Source organism: Homo sapiens, unplaced genomic scaffold (assembly GCF_000001405.40).
Source record: "Homo sapiens unplaced genomic scaffold, GRCh38.p14 Primary Assembly HSCHRUN_RANDOM_CTG11".
NCBI classification, from domain to species: domain Eukaryota; kingdom Metazoa; phylum Chordata; class Mammalia; order Primates; family Hominidae; genus Homo; species Homo sapiens.
This window is the reverse complement of record NT_167214.1, coordinates 80,639-104,072: the sequence shown is the minus strand read 5'-3', so window position 1 is coordinate 104,072 and position 23,434 is coordinate 80,639. Positions and strand designations below refer to the sequence as shown.

At 43.0% G+C, this 23,434-nt stretch overlaps 1 long non-coding RNA gene across 1 annotated transcript in view; it reads right to left on the bottom strand.

The window, feature by feature from the left end:
* The window catches only part of LOC100507412 (uncharacterized), a 29,568-nt gene extending 22,624 nt beyond the window's left edge, over nucleotides 1–6,944 (bottom strand). The window contains exons 1-2 of the long non-coding RNA NR_038958.1: nucleotides 6,637–6,944; nucleotides 3,519–3,834 (exon numbers count right to left, since the gene is read on the bottom strand). This is a non-coding gene — a long non-coding RNA (uncharacterized LOC100507412). The remainder of the gene's footprint in view (nucleotides 1–3,518; nucleotides 3,835–6,636) is intronic.
* Nucleotides 6,945–23,434: the final 16,490 nt, after the last annotated feature.

Here is a 23,434-nt window from a genome sequence, read left to right as displayed (position 1 = left end):
TGGAGAAAAGAGAGACAATTTAGAAAACGTAGATACACAAAGTAAACTTCTGAAACACTCCATTTTTTAAAAGACAGACGGGAAGGAAAGAAACACGAAAAAGAGAGAAAGAATGAGGAAAGAAACGAAGGAAAGAAGGGAAAAAGAAACAGAGAGGAAAGAAAAAAGAAGGAAACACAGGGAACGAAAGAGAAATAAAGCACGAAGGAAAAAAGGACAGAAAGAGAGAAAGAAGGAAAGGAAGAGAGGAAGAAAAACCTAAAGAAGGAGAGAAAGGAAGAAAGGAAGGAAGAAAAACACGAAGGAGAGGAAGAAAGAAAACAGAGATAACTACGTACGCTCGTTCATTTACACACATAAATACGACGCTTTTCATACGTAAAATAAACGTCTTTATCGACGATCCCTTCTTTATAGAGCGATGTGTATTTATTTGTATAACACAAACACCTACATCTATCATACAGAAGTCTATTTCCATACAACCGATACGTATTTACCATACGCAAGAGTATTCAATGCAGAGATACACGTTGTCGTTGTTTGCATATAAGCGTACAGAAACGTTTACATTAATACATATAAGTAAACGCGTGGAAACGAAAGAAATAAAAAAGCGAAATGAGTCAACAGGCCGGGCACGGTGGCTCACGCCCGTCATCCCAGCACTTCGAGAGGCCGAGGTGGGCGCATCACAGGAGGTCGGGAGTTGGAGACCAGCCTGAGCAACATGGAGAGACACGGCGTGCCTACTAAAAACACAAACATCAGCCAAGCCAGGCGTGGGGGTGCCTCCCTGTAATCCCCGCTAATCGGGAGGCTGAGGCAGGAGAAGCGCTCGAACCCGGGAGGCGGAAGGTGCGGTGAGCCAAGATCGCGCCATTGCACTCTAGCCGTGGAAACAAGAGTGAAACTCTGTCTCAAAAGGACGAAACAGAAAGAAAGAAAGAAAGAAAGAAAGAAAGAAAGAAAGAAAGATAGAAAGAAAGAAAGAAAGAAAGGAAAGAAAGAAAGAATGAATGAATGAAAGAAAAGAAAGCAAGAAAGAAAGAAAAAGAAAAGAAAGAAAGAAAAGAAAGCAAGAAAGAAAGCACGAAAGCAAGCAAGCAAGAAAGCAAGAAAACAAGGAAGCAAGAAAGCAAGCAAGAAAGAAACAAAAGAAAGAAAGCAAGAAAACAAGAAAGCACGAAAGCAAGCAAGCAAGAAAGCAAGAAAACAAGGAAGCAAGAAAGAAAGAAACAAAAGAAAGAAAGAAAACAAGAAAGCAAGAAAGCACGAAAGCAATCAAGCAAGAAAGCAAGCAGGAAAGAAACAAAAGAAAGAAAGAAAGCGAGAAAACAAGAAAGCACGAAAGCAAGCAAGCAAGAAAGCAAGCAAGAAAGAAAGAAAGAAAGAAAACAGGAAAGCAAGAAAGCACGAAAGCAAGCAAGCAAGCAAGAAAGCAAGCAAGAAAGAAACAAAAGAAAGAAAGAAAGAAAGAAAGAAAAAGAAAACAGGAAAGCAAGAAAGCACGAAAGCAAGCAAGCAAGCAAGAAAGCAAGCATGAAAGAAACGAAAGAAAGAAAGAAAGCAAGAAAACGGGAAAGCAAGAAAGCACGAAAGCAAGCAAGCGAGCGAGAGAGAGAGAGAGAGAGAGAGAGAGAGAGAGAGAGAGAGAGGCTGGGCGCGGTGGCTCACGCCTGTCATCCCAGCACTTTGGGAGGCTAAGGCAGGCGGACCACCTGAGGTTGGGAGTGGGAGACCAGCCTGACCAACATGGAAAAACACCGTCTCTACTAAAAGTACAAACATCAGCCAGGCACGGTGGCCCATGCCTGTAATCCCAGCTAATCAGGAGGCTGAGGCAGGAGAATCGCTTGAACCTGGGAGGCGGAGGGTGCGGTGAGCCGAGATCGCGCCATTGCCCTCTAGCCTGGGCAACAAGAGTGAAACTCTGTCTCAAAAAAAAAAGAAGAAGAAGAAGAAGAAGAAGAAGAAGAAGAAGAAGAAGAAGAAGAAGAAGAAGAAGAAGAAAAAGAGAAAGTAATAAAGAAAGAAAGAAAGAAAAGGCAAGGCCAGGCAAGTCCAGGCAAGGCAAATCTACCTGCTTTCACTACATCTGGGGAGAATCAGGAAAGTCCCCAACAACAACAAGGCCTAAAGTGGAGCTGCCATCTGTCAAACCCGAGCGGAAGAGTCCACGCGGGTTAAAGACACGAAGAAAGACAAGGAAACCCCTGACCAAGGAGAAGAACAATCGGGCCCAGCCAGGGTCTGTCTCCCGGGGTTGTCTGGGCAACCAGGGAGGGCGGGCCTCCGAGACTCCGTCTCGAAACATCAATCATGATAATAACATAAAATGAAGTTAAAAAAAGAAATCACGCATAATTCCTAACGTGTTTGAGGCCTCGAAAGGCGAGAGGCGTACGTGTATGTCACGGTGGGGTTGTTCTGTTTTGTTGTTTTTTTCTTTTTTCTTTTCTTCTTTTTCCCCAGAAACTCACTTTTTAATTATTTTGTTGCGTTTCATTTTCATTTTCATTTTGCCTTCAAGTCCAGCGTCGCAAGCATGGCAATACCCCTTCTCTACTAATGTTCAAAAATTAGCAGGGCATTATGGCGCGTGACTGTAATCCCGGCCACTCAGGAGGATGAGACTGGAGAATCGCTTCAACCCGGGAGATATTTGCTGCAGTGAACCCAGTGCACCACTGCATTCCAGCCTGGGTGGCTGAGCGAGAGTCCGTCTTAAAAAAAAAAAAAAAGACACAAGAAAGAACAGACCAAAATACTCCATTGTTTCAGAACATTTCCCCAGAAGACCCCAAACACCCTGAGTCAGGTCAAGGAGGTGGTGCTTTATTTTACTTGTCTCTCTCTCTTTCTCTCTCTCTCTCTTTCTTCCCTAACTGTTATTTGTTTTTGAAGCATACATGTGCAAGATTGTTTCATAGGTAAACTTCTGAGTAGGGGGTTCAGTGTGCCGATGATTTCCTCACCCGGATTCTCAGCGCAGTCCCCTACAGTTTTTGTGTTCTGCTCGTTTTGCTTTGTCCTGAAGCTGTCTGTCCTTCCACACGTCCTCCCTCAGGTAGGCTCCTGCGTCTCTCGTCCCCCTAGTTCTTCGCATGCATTCTCATTATGCAGTTCCCACTTATGTGTGAGAACACGCGGTATTTAGATGATTATTGTTTCATCTTCGGTGGTGGTGATGAAAGAGGCATGACACTACATCGACCCTTAGGACGCTCCCCTCCATCCCCACCCTACACCCCCTCCCCACGCACACCGTCTTTCCTGCACCCCCTCCTGAAACCCAACAAACGAAGAAAGACAGAAATTAAAGTAAGAGTTCAGCCACCAAGGCGGTGGTGGGGGGGAATCTCAAACGGTGAGCAGGCGATGGGAGTCTGGGGATGTCATGGCCTAGGTAGCAACAATAGGGGACCGACTTTCCAGCCCCCCCCCCCCACACTCCCTAATCCTCAGCCATCACTTTGGAGTTCATCCAAGGAAGGCTGGTCTCAGGGACTACATACCTAACCTCTCTGGGCTTCTATAGGATAAGATGTTATGGCCAGACGCGGAGCTCACGCCTTTAATCTCAGCACTTTGGGTGGTCAAGTTGGGTGGTACGCCTCAGGTTGGGTGTTCTAGACCAGCCTGACCATTATGGAGCTACCTTGTCTCTATGAAAAAAAAAAAAATTAGCCAGGCCTGGAGGTGTTTGCCTGTGGTTTCAGCTACTCGAAAGGGTGAAGACTGGAAAATCTCTTGAACACAGGCGGCAGAGGTTGCGGTGAGCTGAGGTCGCGCCACTGAACTCCAGCCTGGGCAATAAGAGCGAAACTCCACCTGAAAGACAAAAAAAAAAAAAAAAAAATGAAAAGGAAAGAAGATTTTATGAAGTATAGTTTATATCAATCGGCTCTCACTGTACCTTGAGAGATTCCGAAAATCGCTACTTAATGACCGAAGAAAACACCAGCTAACAGGTTTTGGGGAAAATACACATCTTCCTAAAATTGGTAAAATCTACTTCAACTGAAAAGAGATAAGTAAAGTAAAAACTACAAACAAAACAAAACGTAAAAACAAACACAGACCAAGGCATCGCTTGTGGAAATATTATGTAAGCAAATTGTCACTTTTTAGAAAGCATTTCTATGTTGGGCAAATACCAGTAAGGCCCAGGGAAGATCTGTGAAATGTGGCAGCATGCACCATTTTAAGGGCTGAAATCCATCTGTGTGTCTCCTTTCATCACAACTCTTTTTTTTGGGCGGGGGGATACCTGGAGTTCATGAGTTCAAGAGCAGTCTGGGCAATATAGCAAAATTCTGACTACTAAAAAGGCAAACGTTAGCTGGGTATGGTGTCGCACAGAACTATGTTCCAAGAGGAAGCATCACAAATACCCATGGTCCGCAGTCAAGAAATGAACTGAGTTTACAAGTTTGTAGTGTCATTGCTGCCTCGAAAGGTGAGATGCATATGTTTGTGTCACTGCGGGTTTCTATTTCTTCTTGGAAACTCACTTATTTTTAATTACTTTTTTTTTTTTTAGATGGAATCTGACTCTGTCACCCAAGCTGGAGTCCAGTGGCATGATCTGGGCTGACTGCAATCTCCATCTCCCGGCTTCAACAGATTCTACTACCTCAGCATATAGAGTAGCTGGGAGTAGAGGTGCGTGACACCACACCTGGTTAATTTTTGTATTCTTCATACAGACAGAGTTTGACTATGTTGGCCAGGCTGGTCTCAAACTCCTGACCTCGTAATCCTCCCACATCCGCCTAGCAAACTGCTGAGATGAGAGGAGTGACCCACTGCACCCAGCCTACTGGTTTATTTTTAAAAATAGCAATTTGGGTCGGGCGCAGTGTGTCTCGCCTTTCTATATCAACCAACATTCTTTCTCGAGTCTGATGACCTGGGATCTCCCAGCACTTTGGGAGGACGAGGCCACAGGATTCCTGGAAGTTGGAGTTCAAGACCAGCCTGGGCAACATGGGAAAACCCTGTCTTTACTAAAAAGGTAAAAGTTAGCTGGGTATGGTGGCACGTGCCTGTTATCCCAGCTACTCGAGAGGCTAAGGCAAGAGAATCGCTGGAACCTGGGAGGCGGAGGTTGCAGTGGCCCGATACTGCGCCATGGCCTGACCAACAGAACAAGACTCCATCTCAAATAAATTAATAAATACGTTAGTTAATCGAAAAGTTTAAAAAGAAAACTTCAAGGACGTTGCAGGAATGCACGGGAATGCTTCTCTCATTCCTAAAGATCAGAGCAGAAACACAGCACCATCAGGTTGAGATACAGGCCATTGTGAATCTCTTCTCACTGTGCTCAACTGACACCAAAGAAGGGCAGGTTTCCATGCCGCCCGTTCATCATCACCGCTCTCGTCAAGTATAATTGCAGAGTCATGACTACACAGAGATCTCTCAACCCACCAACTGCGTCCTTACTTGTATGAGTGCAGTTGAAAGAATAAACAGGGCATTTAGCGAAGTAATCATCATATGTTCTTTTGTCTCTCGTGTCTCTCATGAAACCAATCAGATTCGTGGACCACTTTTTCCCCACCCTTCGAACATCCACAGAGCACCAAAATAAAAGAGCAGTGAATGCCTTTTACGCGACAAGGAGGAAAAACAACAAAGTGAAAGTCACAGAGGCTTGTGATACACAGGGAGATACAGAATAAGGAGAATTTTCCAAAATCCACACAAAGACAGACAGACAGAGGGATGGAAAGAAAGAAATGAAGAAAAGAGAGAGTAAGGAAGATCAAGAAAAAGAAAATAGACAGACAGAGATGTAAAGGGAAGAAAGATGAAAAAGAAAACCAAAAGACATAGAAACAGAAAAAAAAAGAATGAGAAATGAGAGAAAAAAGGGAGGAAGAAAAAGAGAGAAGAAAAAGAAAAGACAGAAAGAAAGAGAAAGAAAAAAAGAGAAAAAATGAAGGAAATAAAAAAGAGGGCAGGGCATTGTGGCTCACACCTATAATCCCAGCACTTTGGGAGGCTGAGTTGGAAGAATTGCTAGAGCCTAGGACTTTGAGACCAGCCCTGGCAACACAGTGAGACCCCGTCTCTACTGAAAAAGAAAAGAAAAGAAAAAAATCCGGGCATTGTGATGGCAGGCGCCTGTGGTCCCAGATCCTTTGGAGCCTGAGTTGAGAACATCGCTTGGGGTCGGGAGGTGGAGGCTGCAGCGGGTCTTGGTCAGACAAATGCTCTGCAGTCTGTTTCCGAGGCTGTCTTGAACTCCCGAGCTCTAGCGAACTGCCCTCCTCAGCCTCCGAAATTGCAGCCGCCACAACCAACGGTCCTGAAGGTGTCATTGACAGATTTTAGTAAACAGGGTGTTTCGCCATATTGCGAATTTGAACCCAGGCATTTGAAGCTGCAGTGACCCAAAGTCGCGCCACTGCACTGCACTCTGGGTGATAGAGGAAGACTCCATCTCTAAATAATTACATAAATAATAAAAACAATAACAATAATGACAAACAATAATACAAAGAAATAATAAGCAGCAATAATAATAAACTCGTGGGAGTGAAAAACTATAAAAGGTAATTTAGATCACAATTAATTGCAGTTTATTTCAAGGAATTTTTTTCTTTAACCTGTCTCTCTTACCTTCTGAAACACTCAGACTGGAGGGCAAGGCATCATCACGGCTCACTTCAGCTTCGACATCACAGAATTAAGTGATTCCTGTAGTCTCAGCCACTTGGAAGGCTGAGATAGGAAGATCACCTGAGGGAGTCCTGGAAAGTCGAGGCGGCTGTAAGCCGAGATTGCATTCTTACACTCCAACCTGCCTCAAAAACTACAAATAAATAAAAGGTAAATGTAAAACAACAGCAACTTCAGTGTGTAGAAAGAGGAGCAAGAAAAATAAAAGAAAAACAAAACGAAGAGAAACTGAAAGTACTGTGGAAACAGTTGGAGAGGAAGAAACAACGCAAGGAAAAAGCGACACCTAGTGAATGCGGGCGGTACTGCTGCTGACCAAAGTTATCTGGTCTACCTTAGAAATCCCAAGTTGACGGTCAAGTCCAACGCTTGCCGCGGACATCAGGTGGGCACGGCGACCAGAGACCTGAGGACTGGGGCCTTAGGCCCTGGTCCCAGGTCTTCCAGACAGAGAAGCCCGCGGCCGTGTCAACTGGATGTTGCTTGCTTCCCGCAGTCGGCTGATTCGCGGGCTGATCGGGAAGCCAAACGCCAGCATCTAATCGACAGGGTCCACCCTAAAGACCAAATGTGGTGCTCGCGGAGGGAAGCGATCAGACGCAGTTGGAACCTTATCACACAGAACCGGCCCAGGTTTGAGGCCGTCTAACTTGGCAGACCTGCCAGCCATTTCCCCGCAGTCCGCTGGTTGACCCGGACAGAGAAGAGGAGTAAAGACACAAGGGTAGTGACTAGCTAGTCTTTCATCCCAGCACCCCTGAGGCGGGGAGAGGGACTGTGACCCCAACAGCCACCCACGGGCATCGCGCGAACACTACTCAGGCAGGGACTGCAGGGGCAAAACCTCTGACACCCGCGCCTCAGCCATTCGCACGAGGCTCGAAGAATCCGGTCCCAACTCGTGGAGGAATTCCCAGCGGGATGGGAGAAAGAAGCTCAATCAGAGAGGTGGAACATCGAGCAGGGGCGCCAACCCTACCTCGCAACCCCCAGCGCTGCATCTTGGAAAGCCTGCTGTTGGGGAACGACCCCTCCCAAATGCACGGCCGACGCCAATGTTATCTCGCGAGAGACAGCCCTGCATGCCCTGGGGCTCCGGGGCGGGGGGCCTGAGCAGGCCCGGGAACTAAGTCCCCGGGGGCAAAAGGAGGGAAGAAGGAAGGTAGAGGTCCAGGGCTGAATTATACAGGACACGCCACAACGCTAGCTTTCCCGCACACTGGTTGAGAGCCCCTTGTGTGGAGGGCTGACTTTCAATAGGTTGCAGTGAGGGAGTTGCTCTGCTCCATAGGAAACCCTGACCCAGAAGCAGGGCGTTTACCAATAGTTTAGTATCAGATTCCCCATGAGCATGTTATGTGACGGGCCAGGGAGCAAACGCCTTTCTGGCCGCACCCCGTTTTTTAGGATGGGGGGCCGCACCCCGTTTTTTAGGATGATAAGACCGGAGCAAGGTCTTGGCGCACAGCGGGGCGGAGCGTCCGGCCGGTGGCAAAGGCTGGGGACTGGCTATCTGAGGCCAACCGAGTCTTGCCAGCGCTGCTGCGTCCTTTCTTCTGGGCGGGATTCTGATTTAGAGGCGTTCAGTCATAATCCCACAGATGGTAGCTTCACCCCATTGGTTCCTCAGTCAAGCACATACACCAAATGTGTGAAACTTTGATTCCTCTCATACTCAGCAGGATTACCATGATAGCAACACATGGGCAACAACACATGGAGAACACACGCAGTAAAACTAACCTGTCTCACATGGGTCTAACCATGATGCTTTCCAGGGCATGCACTCCGCTTTTAGATGAATCCATTCCACTTTGCCTTGCCCTTCACAAAGAAAAGAGAACTCGCTGGCCACAGTGGCTCACGCCTGTAATCCCGGCACATTGAAAGGCTGAGGCTGACGGATCACCTGATGGCAGGAGTTCGAGTCCAGCGTGGCCAACATGGTTAAACCCTGTCTCTATGAAAATACAAAAATTAGCTGGGCATAATAACGGGTGCCTGTTAACCCAGCTCCTCGGTAGGCTGAGGCAGGAGAATCGCCTGAAACCAGGAAGCGGATGTTGCAGTGAGCCGAGATTGCTCCATTGGGCTCCATCCTGAGCCTCTAAGCGAGACTCCATCTCAAAAAAGAAAAAAAAAAAAAAAAAAAACGAGAACTCTCTCTAGGGCTCCCATCTGCTTTTGCAGAATCAGAGAATGTGATTGCCGGCAAAGGTTGAGGGGAGGGCGCAGGGGAAAGCAGGGGGAGGAGCAAAGGCTGGAGGCACAATAGCTCACTCTGGAACCTTTCCAAGTTTAGTGGGGACAATTTTGAAACTAGCTGACTCTGGAAATTACACATAATTCATAGTATTATTGCTTCTTTGAAAGGTGAGCGGTTCATGATTTTTTTTCTCAGCATTTATTCATTTACTTGTAATAAGTGCATTTAGTTTCATACAGTTTACATACAACCGGTTTGACTGTAGCTGCAGAGATTTAGGATAGTTTTTCTTAATGGTAAGCCCTAGGGTGGAGCTACAATGCACTTTCCGTTGTGAACCCTGAAAACTTGAGAGAGGTCTCAGTTAATTTAGAAAGTTTACGTAACCAAGGTTCAGGACGCATACCCGTGACAGCCTTAGGAGGTTCTGAGGACATGTGCCTAAGGTAAACAGAGAACATTATCGTTTTATACATTCTAGGGAGACATGAGACATCAATCAAAGTATGCAAGATGAACATTGGTTCGGTCTGCAAAGGCGGGACAAATTAGCAAACGCGGGAAGACTGAAAGTGAGGAGGGGACTTCCTGGTCAATGGTAGTTAAGAGACAAATGGTTGCATTCTTTGGAGTTTCTAATTAGCCTCTCCAAAGGAGGCAATCAAATATACATTTATCGCTTGAAACCAGGAGGCGAATGTTGCAGTGAGCCGAGATTGCTCCATTGGGCTCCAGCTTGAGCATCTGAGCGAGACTCCATCTCAAAAAAGAAAAAAAAAAAAGAGAAAAGAGCAGAGGAGTGACTTTGAATAGAATGGCAGGTTGGCCCTAAACAGTTGCCAGCTTGACTTTTCCCTTTACTTTAGTGATTTGGAAGCCTCAAGATTTATTTTTCTTTCACACACACAATTTTTAAAACCCAGGTAGAACTGTTCATGCTTACTAAAAAAAAAAAAAAAAAAAAAAAAAAAGGAAGAAAGAAAAACAAATGATAGCCTAGGCGCCCTGGCTTATTTCTGTAAACTCAGCACTTTAAGAGGCTGAGGTGGGTGGATCATCTGAAGTCAGGACTTCGAGAACAGACTGGCCAACATGGCGAAATGACGTCCCTACTAAAAATACAAAAATTTGCTGGGAGTAGAGGCAGGCACATGCAATACCAGCTAGTGGGGAGGCTGAGGCAGGAGAATCGCTTGAATCCAGGAGGCAGAGGTTGCAGTGAGCCGAGATGGCGCCATTGAACTTCAACCTGGGCTACAAGAGCGAAACTGTCTCTGTCTCTAAATAAATAAAGAAATAAGCATTCCCAGCCAGGGTGGAGGTTTCCTAGGCAACAAGGCATTGGGGGAGGGACGGAAGGAGTGCCTCTGAGGTCAGGGTGGGGCCCGAGAGAAACCAGTTTTCCCTGGCTGTGCGCGGGCGGCCAGAAGTTTTGGTGTGATGCCTCCATTTTCAATAACAGTGACCGCTAGGTGACGCCAAATGACAACCGAACGACGTTCCAGCCTGGAATGAGTGGGGTCACTGGTTTAGGGGTTGTCAAGGAAGGAGAAAGAGATGGAGGCCCATGGGGTCGCCGGTCTTCTGATCTCTCCTGGATTACGTTTCCGGGCCCGAGACACCCTCCCAGACAATCCCCGCAGCTCTTCAACCAGTGTCCCTGGGGAAAAGATGATCAGTTCTCAGGAAACATTCAGACAGGCAAGCACATGCGCTCACGTGAGCACATGACAAGTATACAACTTTATATGTGATAGTGAGCTTTCTTTTGCAAAATGTCTTCGTGATGCATTTCACTACATAGTATTGTTGAAAACATCAAATTATAGGAGTGAGCACAGTGGCTCAAGCCTGTAATCCCAGGACTTCTGAAGACCAAGGTGGGAGGCTGGATAGAGGACAGGAGTTTGAGACTAACCTGGGCAACACATCGAGAGAGATTACCACTACTTAAAAATATTGCCCAGCATTGTGGCACATGCCTATATTTCCAGCTACTCAGGAAGCTGAGGCAGGAGGATTGCTGAAGCCCAGGATTCAACGTTGCAGTGAGTGAGCTGTGAACAGGCGACCAGAGTTTTTTTGTTCTCTACAGCTTACATTTTCAATAACGGTTGCCGCTAGTTGTCGCCCAAAGACAACTAAAACACGTGTCATCCTGGAATACGTGGGATCCCTGATGGAGGGGTGGGTGAGGAAGTAGGAGGGGACGGAGGCACACGGGGTCGCCCATTTTCTCATGATTCCCGTTGGACTACTTTTCTGGGTGCAGAGCATCCTCCCAGAAAGTCCCCAAAACCATTCAACCAGAGCTCCTGAAAAAAACAGTCGAACTCTCTGCCCATCGGATCATCCGGAATTTCCATTTATCCATTGAGAAGAATACTCCATTGGAGTTTGGCGCAGGTTACGGTTACAGGCAGGGGCTGCCTCAGACAGAAGTCTAGTCTACAGAGTTTCACAGTAGACCCTAGGTTCAATCTCTCCCAAACTCAGAGTAGCAATATCTGTCACAGTAGAATGAAGTGCATGAAATGCGTGCTCCGAAGAAAGCGTGTTTCACACAGATGATTTGCACACTTATTCTTGTCCCTAGGCCAGTTGTTTCTTCCAAAATACCCATTACTCAATCGTTCACCCTCTCGTGAACCACTTAGGAATCTTGTTCTATGAATCCTGGAGCTTCAATATTTGACATCTTCAGAAGAACATGAATGCTATCCTAGCCTGGTAGCAATAAGGTACCATTTCTCAGAAAACACGCACCTATGCACACAAGCAAGCATGTATACACACATGCCCGCATCATATCTATACAATTTTACACTGTGATAGTGAGCTTTCTTTCCCTAGATAACTTCGTAATCGCTTTCGCTACATAGTATTGTTTAAAATATCAAATTATAGGTGCTGGGTGTGGAGGTTTGACTCTAGTCAAAGCACTTTGCAGGCAAAGCTGGGAGAATCGCTTGAGGTGGGGAGTGTGAGAACAGCCTGGAAAACATAGCAAAATCTAATCTCTACTAAAAATAAAACAAAATTAGCTAGGCGTTGTGGGGTGCACCTATAGTCTCAGCTACTTAAGAGGTTGAGGCAAGGATTGCTTAAGAACAGGAGTTTGAGATCCTATGATACTCACTCCTGCAACACTGCTGTGGCCCATGAATTGGCTACATGACCAATGACACGGAAGGAACATGATTACAAAATTCCTGGCAAAAAAAAAAAAAAAAGAAAGAAAAACTTTTGTGGATAAACCTCTCTCACTGGGTAAATTACATAAAGATATGTCTGTTCTATATGAATCCCTACTAAGGGGTAACCGTATCAGAGCAGGATTTTGATAATGATGTGGACAGAATGTCTTGTTCCGTGAGTATGGGTCATTCTTACTTCCCTGTCACCCCCATCATCACCCAATGGGCTTATAAACAAGGTGAACATAGTAGCAGAAATAGAAGCAACGCACGGGCTAAGCAACATGAACTTTGAATCCCAAAGGCCAGTCTGGCTACAGTCAATTCTGAACGTTTAATTTGACAGCAGCACAGATCTACACTGAGTCTTTGATATGACATCATTTCCAGGGTGATCCACCAGGCACCTGGTAGTAAATTTATTACGTTGAATAACTTTTATAATATAGGCGGCAACAGTTTGTACTCACTGGAGTAGGCTCTTACTATGGATACAAATTTGCTTTCCCTGGGTGGAATTCTGCCAAAACTACCCTCCATGGACTCACAGAATCCCTCATCCATCCCTATGATATTCCACTTAGCATTGCTCAGACCAAGAAACTCACTTCACAGCCAAAGTGTAGCAGTGTGCTCATCTTCACGGATGTCAGTGGACTTACCATGCTTTCCATTATCTGGAAGCAACTGGATTAATAGAATGATAGGTTTGTCAGCATTTCCAGCCACCCTAACACCTATATCTCCCTGTGCACCCTAAGGGACTCCACAGAATGGTGAATTAGATACATATATCCAAAGGAACTACATACATTTGTGTTCCCCCATCCAAACCTCCAATCGTATGTAGTTTAATATTTAAAGTTGCTGAAGTTAGCTGTAGACAAAGGACAAAAATTAGAAGTGCAGAGGGAATGGGTTCCTTCATGTGGGTAAAGGAGAGACTTACAAAACCTGCTTAATGTGGCTTTTTGCAGTCTTTTTGCTGCTCACAGCTGAACCACATGAACTTCTAGTGTTTTGGACTCATCCAAACCTCAACATTAGCTTTAAGAGCTCCTTGATTTTCCAGCAGGAGAAAAGTGAACATGCAAAGCTCTCAGGTTCATTGTTATAATCCTCTCAAGGATCAGTCTCATTAGCAGACAGCAGAGTCTTGATCTCTTGCTTCACCAAACTAACCACTTGGCCGAGAGAATTTGCTGTTGGTCCTGGGGGAACTTCTCATATCCCTTGCAAGCTCTTCAAGTATTTGTTCCTTTTCCCCTTTCAGAAAGTTGTGTTTATCTCAGCATGCCATAGTCATCTCCAAAATTAAATAATTGTGACGTATCTAAGATTTTATAGCATTTGTAAACAACATATTAACCTTCCATTTTCATCGATGCTGGTAGAAGGCATGAGACACTGAAGTATGAAAAAAAATACCTATTATTTACTGCTTACCTGGAGGCAAAAGCCTCATATTTGTATTAGTTCTCCTTGTCCATACTACGTTTTTTGAAGGATTTCAAAAGGTTCATATGGACTTTGTACATGGGGAAGATTTGTGTCATAGCTGAGCAGACTCAAGACTAAGAAACCTGAATCTTTTTAAAGTAGGTTACATGGAAGCCTGTCCAACCTTTGCGTCACAAAGAAAAATTGTCTTTATTATATTGATTGAGTAATTTATCTGCCATTCACCTGAAGAGAAAAACTACTACCCTTTTTCCAGGTTATTTGTGTACAAAAATCTTTGAAAAATAGCGTGGAACAGGACAGGTATGTGATATAATCCACAACAAAACAACAAACTCTAAGAGACTTGTGGAGAACTACATCTCAGTAGCATGCATCTTTCCCATTAAATGTTGCACTAAGCAATCCTGTGATAAAAGACAATCCATTGAAGACTTTCGACATGAAGATTAACCTCGGTTGCTTTGTGTTGTGGGATTGTTCAAGTGATTCTCCAGTGTCAGCCTCCAAAGTAGCTGGGAATACAGTCTCCCAAGACCACGCTCAGCTTATTTTTGTATTTTTAGTAGAGGCGGGGTTTTACCATATTGGCTAGACTGGTCTCGAACTCCTGATCTCAGGTGGTCCGCCTGCCTTGGCCTCACAAAGTGCTAGGAATATAGGCATGAGCCTCCGTGCCTGGCCCCAGAAATGAAAGTTCTAGTGCGCAGTAATGTAATTCTGACAGATAAATGACAGGTGAGAGTAAGTGAAAATCTAACACAATTTAACATTTTTACATATTTAGACATATTGAAATTGGTTAGCTTATTGGAAAAAGTTAAATGACTAGTAATATATACAGCATATTTATTCTGAATGAATTGCTAATCTAGATTTGAGACATGAAATAATTATTTTTACAACACAGAAACATAAACTGCATTTCCATATACAATTAACAATTTGACAGTAAATTAAGAAAACAATTGTTCGCAACAACATTAAAATAATATAATTCTTAGCAATAAATTTAATAAGGAGGTAAATATCTTGTACAATAAAAAATACAGGATCAGAATGTTTATGAAAAAAACTAAAAAGGACTTAAATAACTGGCAACAAATTCCATGTTCCTGAACCGGAAGATTTAATGAAGTTAAGATGACAATACCACTGCCCAAAGGAGTGTACAGATGTACTGTAATCCCAAGTTTTCATTTTTCCAACTTTTCTTCTGCAAAAAGAAAATAGCTCATTTAAAACTTCATGTGGAATTTGAACATCCTCTGAATGTACAGAATAATCTTGAAAAGAAGGACAAAATTAGGTGGCTCACAATTTTAAATTTGAAAACATAAAAAGCTACTATAATTATAACAGTTTGATAGTGGCATAAGAACAATTGTGGAGATCAAATAAATAAAATAGATACTCCAAAAAACCCTTTCATAAATTATTGTTTGTCTTTTTAAAAGTGTGCCTTAATCATTATGTAAAGACAGTTTGTTACACAAGAAATGCTGGGAAAACAAGTCCACATTTAAACCAGTAAAGTTGAATCTTTATCACATTCCAAGTAGAAAAATTAAATAAAAATTGATTAAAGATATAAAAACAAGTGTTAAACTTTAGTGGTTTCTAATAGTTGTTTTTATTTAACTGGGGACAGCACTAACATGAACAACTTTATACACACAAACTAGAAAACTTTAACGAAATAAATAGATTCCTAGATATACACACTCTCTCAAGATTAAGCCAGGAAGACAATGATTTCCTGAACAGACCAGTAAAAAACTCTGATATTAAATAGGTAATAAGTAGCTTGCCAATCAAAAAAAAAAGCCCTGGACTTTATGGACTTACAGCCAAATTCTACCAAATGTACAAAGAAGAGCTGGTACAATTCCTACAGAAACTATACCCAAAAATTGAGAAGGAGGGTCTTCTCCCCAACTCATTCTATGAGGACAGCATGATCTTGACACCAAAACAGGCAGAGACACAACAAAAACACAAAAAATTAGCCGGGCTTGGTAGCAGACACCTGTAGTCCCAGCTACTTGGGAGGCTGAAGCAGGAGAATGGCGTGAACTCAGGAGGCAGAGATTGCATTAAGCAGAGATCGCGCCAGTGCAATCCACTCCAGCCTGGGCAACAGAGGGAGACTCCGTCAAAAAAAAAAAAAAAAAAAGAAAGAAGGGAAAGAAAACTTCAGGCCAATATTCTTGACGAACATCAATACAAAAGTTCTCAACAAAATATTTGGGAGGCAAATCCAGCAGCACATCAAACAGGTAATCCGTCATGATCAAGTAGGCTTCCTCCTTAGGACGCAAGGTTGGTCCATCATGTGCAAATCAATAAATGTAATACATTACATAAACAGAACTAAAAACAAAAAAAAGATGATTATCTCAATAGACGCAGAAAATAATAAAAGCCGTCTATAAGAAACCCACAGCCAACAATGTGTTGAATGGGCAAAAGCCGGGAACATTATTTTTTAAAACCAGTAGAAGGCAAGAATGCCCTCTCTCGCCATTTCTATTCAACTTAGTATTGACAGTACTGACCAGAGCAATCAGGGTAGAGAAAGAAATCCGAAGAACATCCAAATAGGAAGAGAGAAAGCCAAACTATTTCTGTTTGCAGATAACATAATTCTCTATCTAGAAAACCCTGTAGTTTCATCTACAAAGCTTCTTTAGTTAACAAACAGCTTCAGCAAAGTTTCAAGATACTAAATCAATGTGCAAAGATCACTAACATTTTTCTACACCAACGATAGCCACACTGACAGCAAAATCAGAAAGGCCATCCCATTCACAATTGCCACTAAAATAATAAAATATCTGGAAATGCAGCTCACCAGGGAGGTGAAAGAGCTCTACAATGAGATTTACAAAACACTGCTCAAAGAAATCAGAGAAGATACAAACAAATGGAAAACCATCCCATGCTCACGGATAGGAAGATCCAATATCACTAAAATGGCTATACTTCACAAAGAAATTTACAGATTTAATACTATTTCCATCAAACTGCCAATGAAATTTTTTACGGAGCTAGAAAAAACTATTTGAAAACTCATATAGGCCGGGGGCTGTGGCTCACACCTGTAATCCCAGCACTCTGGGAGGCCAAGGGGTGTGGATCATGAGGTCAGGAGATCCAGACCGTCCTGGCCAACATGGCAAAACTCCTTCTCTACTAAAAATACAAAAAATAGCTGGGAGTAATGGCAGCGCTTGTAATCCCAGCTACTTGGGAGGCTGAGGCAGGAGAATCCCTTGAACATGTATATAATATATACGTATGTTATACATATATTTATTATACTTTAAGTTCTAGGGTACATGTGCACAACGTGCAGGTTTGTTACTTATGTATACATGTGCCATGTTGGTGAGCTGTACCCATTAACTCGTCATTTACATTAGGTATATCTCCAAATGCTATCCCTCCCCCCTCCCCCCCCAACAACATTCCCCAGTGGGTAATGTTACCCTTCCTGTGTCCAAGTGTTCTCATTGTTCAATTCCCACCTATAAGCGAGAACATGTGGTGTTTGTTTTTTTTTGTCCTTGTGATAGTTTGCTGAGAATTATCTTTTCCAGCTTCATCCATGTCCACACAAAGGACATGAACTCATCATTTTTTATGGCTGCATAGTATTCCATGGTGTATATGGGCCACATTTGCTTGATACAGTCTATCATTGTTGGACATTTCGGTTGGTTCCAAGTATTTGCATTGTGAGTAGTGCCACAATAAACATACGTGTGCATGTGCCTTTATAGCAGCACCTAACATGTCTTTTCTTATTTTCTTAGATTGTGAGTTTCTTTCAGACTAGGACTCTGCTGAGTCAGCTCTCTGTCCTCCCTGTACTCCTTATCACAGTGCTTGGCTATGACAGATGTTTAATAAATATTTGAGAAACACAGTAAATCCATATGAGTGACACAATGTTACGGAAAACTCTGGTCATTCAACAAATTCTATTCTCCCATTTATTAGGGACACAGCAGAATTACATTTCTTAGCCTCATTTGCATTAGATGTGGAAACGTGACCAGTTATTGTTAATGGTTGTAGAGTGAGATGGATGTGAGTCACATTAAGATGAGTCCATCAAGTCTTCTCGCATGCATTTCTTAAAGTACTTTATTTTCAGGGGACTGAACACAAACGGCAACCACGACTCATGGATGATGAAGACAAATAATGAAAGAACTTTGAGTTTCTGAATGACCACATGGAGAGGAGGCGCCTTTTCAATTTGGCCACCGAACAACTCTGTGATGTGTGCTAAAAAGTGCTGTTAATCTACTGCAAATTAGGGATGTGCTGGTATTTGACAATTCAGCATAATCTAAAACATGCACTTAAAAACCTATTCACTGAATTAATTTAAAAGGCATTTTTATAGTACACTTAAGATGACAAACGTTAAGGTGGTCTTGCAATTTTTACCCTTCCATTTTGACCGTACTATGTTATATTAGAGAACTTGAGCCACATAAATGATCAGTTTTTATTGCGTCTATTTGATTCTTCTCTCTTTTCTTCTTTACTAGTCTTGCTAGCAGTCTATCAATTTTGTTGATCGTTTCAAAAACCAGCTCCTGAATTCATTGATTTTTTGAAGGGTTTTTTATGTGTCTATTTCTTTCAATTCTGCTCTGATCTTAGTTATTTCTTGCCTTCTGCTAGCTTTTGAATGTGTTTGCTCTTGCTTCTCTAGTTCTTTTAATTGTGATGTTAGGGTGTCAATTTTAGATCTTCTCTGCTTTCTCTTGTGGGCCTTTAGTGCTATAAATTTCCCTCTACACGCTGCTTTGAATGTGTCCCATAGATTCTGGTATGTTGTGTCTTTGTTCTCGTTGCTTTCAAAGAACATCTTTATTTCTGCCTTCGTTTCGTTATGTACCCAGTAGTCATTCAGGAGCAGGTTGTTTGGTTTCCATGTAGTTGAGCGGTTTTGAGTGAGTTTCTTAATCCTGAGTTCTAGTTTTATTGCAGTGTGGTCTGAGAGAGAGGTTTTTATAATTTCTGTTCTTTTACAATTTGCTGAGGAGTGCTTTACTTCCAACTATGTGGTCAATTTTGGAATAAGTGCAGTGTGGTGCTGAGAAGAATGTATATTCTGTTGATTTGGGGTGGAGAGTTCTGTAGATGTCTATTAGGTCTGCTTGGTGCAGAGCTGAGTTCAATTCCTGGATATCCTTGTTAACTATCTGTCTCATTGATATGTCTAATGTTGACAGTGAGGTGTTAAAATCTCCCATTACTATTGTGTGGGAGTCTAAGTCTCTTTCTAGGTCTCTAAGGACTTGCTTTATGAATCTGTGTGCTCCTATATTGGGTGCATATATATTCAGGATAATTAGCTCTTCTTATTGCATTGATCCCTTTATCATTACGTAATGGACTTCTTTGTCTCTTTTGATCTTTATTGTTTTAAAGTCTGTTTTATCAGACACTAGGATTGTAGCCCCTGCCTTTTTCTGTTTTCCATTTGCTTGGTAGATCTTCCTCCATCCCTTTATTTTGAGCCTATGTGTGTCTCTGCACGTGAGATGCGTTTCCTGAATACAGAACACTGATGGGTCTTGACTCTTTATCCAATTTGCCAGTCTGTGTCTTTTAATTGGAGAATTTAGTCCATTTACTTTTAAGGTTAATATTGTTTTGTGTGCATTTGATCCTGTCATTATGATGTTAGCTGGTTATTTTGCTCGTTAGTTGATGCAGTTTCTTCCTAGCCTCGATGGTCTTTACAACTTGGCATGTTTTTGCAGTGGCTGGTACCGGTTGTTCCTTTACATGTTTAGTGCTTCCTTCAGGAGCTCTTTTAGGGCAGGCCTGGTGGTGACAAAATCTCTCATCGTTTGCCTGTATGTAAAGGATTTTATTTCTCCTTCACTTATGAAGCTTAGTTTGAATGAATATGAAATTCTGGATTGAAAATTCTTTTCTTTAAGAATGTTGAATATTGTCCCCCACTCTTCTGGCTTGTAGAGTTTCTGCCGAGAGATCAGCTGTTAGTCTGATGGGCTTCCCTTTGTGGGTAACCCGACCTTTCTCTCTGGCTGCCCTTAACATTTTTTCCTTCATTTCAACTTTGGTGAATCTGACAATTATGTGTCTTGGAGTTGCTCTTCTTGAGGATTATCTTTTTGGTGTTCTCTGTATTTCCTGAATTTGAATGTCACCCTCCCTTGCTAGATTGGGGAAGTTCTCATGGATAATATCCTTCAGAGTGTTTTCCAACTTGCTTCCATTCTCCTCATAACTTTCAGGTACACCAATCAGATGTAGATTTGGTCTTTTCACACAGTCCCATATTTCTTGGAGGTTTTGTTCATTTCTTTTTATTCTTTTCTCTCTAAACTTCTTTTCTCACTTCATTTCATTCATTTGATCTTCCATCACTGACACCCTTTCTTCCAGTTCATCGAATTGGCTACTGAGGCTTGTGCATTCATCACGTACTTCTCGTACATTGGTTTTCAGCTCCATGAGGTCCTTTACGAACTTCTCTGCATTGGTTATTCTAGTTAGCTATTCATCTAATTTTTTTAAAGGTTTTTCACTTCTTTGCCATGGGTTCGAACTTCCTCCTTTAGCTCGGAGTAGTTTGATCGTCTGAAGCCTTCTTCTCTCAACTCGTCAAAGTCATTCTCTGTCCAGCTTTGTTCCATTGCTGGTGAGGAGCTGTGCTCCTTTGGAGGTGGAGAGATACTCTGATTTTTAGAATTTTCCGTTTTTCTGCTCTGTTTTTTCCCCATCTTTGTAGTTTTCTCTCCTTTGGTCTTTGATGATTGTGATGTACAGATGGGATTTTGTTGTGGATGTACTTTCTGTTTGTTAGTTTTCCTTCTAACAGTCAGAACCCTCAGCTGCAGGTCTGTTGGAGTTTGCTGGAGGTCCACTCCAGACCCTGTTTGCCTGGGTATCAGCAGTGGAGGCTGCAGAACAGCGGATATTGGTGAAAAGCAAATATTGCTGCCTGATTGTTCCTCTGGAAATTTTGTCTCAGAGGAGTACCCGGCCGTGTGAGGTGTCAGTCTGCCCCTACTGGGGATGCTTCCCAGATAGGCTACTCGGGGGTCAGGGACCCACTTGAGGAGGCAGTCTGTCTGTTCTCAGATCTCCAGCTGCATGCTGGGATAACCACTACTCTTCAAAGCTGTCAGACAGGGACATTTAAGTCTGCAGAGGATTCTGCTGCCATTTGTTTGGCTATTCCCTGCCCCCAGAGGTGGAGTCTACAGAGTCAGGCAGGCCTCCTTGAGATGCAGTTGGCTCCACCCAGTTGGAGCTTCCTGGCTGCTTTGTTTACCTACTCAAGCCACGGCAATGGTGGGCGCCCCTCCCCCAGGCTTGTTGTTGCCTTGCAGTTTGATCTCAGACTGCTGTGCTAGCAATGATTGAGGCTCTGTGGGCGTAGGACCCTCTGAGCCATGTGCAGGATATAATCTCCTGGTGTGCCGTTTGCTAAGACCTTTGGAACAGTACAGTGTTAGGGTGGGAGTCACCCGATTTTCCAGGTGCAATCTGTCACCCCTTTCTTTGACTAGGAAAGGGTATTCCCTGACCCCTTGCACTTCCTGGGTGAGGCGATGCCTCACCATGCTTTGGCTCACATGGGGTGCGCTGCACCCACTGTCCTGCACCCACTTTCTGACACTCCCCAGTGAGATGAGCCCGGTAGCTCAGTTGGAAATGCAGAAATCACCTGTGTTCTGCATTGCCAATGCTGGGAGTTCTAGACTAAGGCTTTTCCTATTCGCCCATCTTGGCTCCACCCCCTCTCTAATTAAATTTTAATGTGAATAGTCTGAAATTATTTTTTCTATATCCTTCAGTTTTTTCATAATTTTTCTCTAACTTTTAGGTTCTATGTTTATGCCCCTTATATTTTCCAGAAATGTCTCTGAAGATTATTGCCCATTTTAAAGTTAAACTAATTTTTTATTTACTTTTCTGTTTATTCTGTATTCTGCTTATCAATCGCTTGTCAGCTGTGTAGTTTGCACATATTTCCTCTCATTTTCTTTCTTTTTTTTTGAGACAGTCTTGCTCTGTCACCCATGCTGGAGTGCAGTGGCATGATCTCAGCTCACTGTAACCTCCACCTCCTGGGTTCAAGAGATTCCCTGGCCTCAGCCTCCTGAGCAATTGGGTTTTCAGGAACCACGCCCGGCTAATTTTTGTATTTTTAGTAGACACAGTGTTTCACCATGTCAGCCAGGCTGGTCTAGAACTCCTGACCTCAGGTGATCCACCAGCCTCAGCCTCCCAAAATACTGAGTTTATAGGTGTGAGCCATTGTCCCCGGCCAATAGAATATTATTTATACAATGGAGTATTAGCTAGCCATAAAAATAAATACAGAACTGATATGTGCCACAACATGGATAAATAATGAAAACACGCTCAAAGAGAAAAGCCAAAGAAAAAAGGTCACATATTATATTATTATATTTCTATAAAGTGACTAGAATAGAAAACTAGAAATAGAAGCCGGGTGTGATGGCTCACGCCTGTAATACCAGCACTTTGGGTGGCCGAAGCAGGCAGATCACGACGTCATGAGATCGAGACCATGCTGGCTAACATGGTGAAACCCCGTCTCTACTAAAAATACAAAGAAAAATAGCTGGGCGTGCTGACAGGCATCTGTAGTCCCAGCTACCCTGGAGGCTGAGGCAGGAGAATGGCGTGAACCAGGGAGGTGGAGCTTGCAGCGAGCCGAGATCGTGCCACTGCACTCTAGCATGGGTGACAGAGTGAGACACCAAAAAAAAAAAAAAAAAAAAGGAAAGAAAGAAAGAGAGTACTAGAGATAGAAAGTCAATCAGTGGTTACCAAGGAAATTCGGTGGATGAATGATAAATTACTGCTTAATGGATATGGAGTTTTTTTGGTGAAAGGGTGATGAAACTATTTTGGAATTTGATAGGGGTGACAGTTGCATAGCATTGTAAATAAACTGAAAAGCACTGAATTTTACACTTTATATTAGTTAGTATGTAGAACTCTATATTGTGTAAATTTTAGCTGACTAAAACATTTTAACAAGCAAGGAAAAATAAACTGTAGGCTTTGTGTGGTGGCTCACACCTATAATCTCAGTTTTTTTCAGAGGCTGATGCAAGCAGATCACGAGGTGAAGAGATCGAGACCATCCTGGACAACATGGCGAAACCCCATCTCTACTAATAATACAAAAATTAGCCAGGCTTGGTGGCACGCCCTTATAGTCCCAGCTACTCAGGAGGCTGAGGCAGGAGAATCACTTGAACCTGGGAGGTGGAGGTTGCAGTGAATCACTTGAACCCGGGAGGTGGAGGTTGCAGTGAGCCGAGATCATGCCACTCCACTCCAGTCCCGTGAAAGAGCGAGAAGAGAGAGACTCTGATAAAGAAAGAAAGAAAGAAAGAAAGAAAGAAAGAAAGAAAGAAGAAAGAAAGAAAGAAAGAAAGAAGAAAGAAAAAAGAAAATAAGGAAAGAAAGAAAAGAAAGGGAGGGAGGAAGGAAGGAGAAAGAAAGAGAAAGAAAGAAAGAAAGAAAGAAAGAAAGAAAGAAAAGGAAGGAAGGAATGAAGGAAGAGGAAAGAAAGAAAGAAGAAAGAAAGAAACGGAAGGAAGGAATGAAGGAAGAAGAACAAAAGAAAGAGAAAGAAGAAAGAAAGGAAGAAAGAAAAGAAAGGAAGGAGAAAGAAAGAAAGAGAAAGAAAAAGAAGGAAAGAAAGAAAGAAGAAAGAAAGAAAAAGAAAGAAGAAAGAAAGAAGAAAGAAAGAAAGAAAGAAAGAAAGAAAGAAAGAAAGAAAGAAAAAAGAAATACTATGAAACAGGAGGGCAAATGAGGGAGCCCTGGA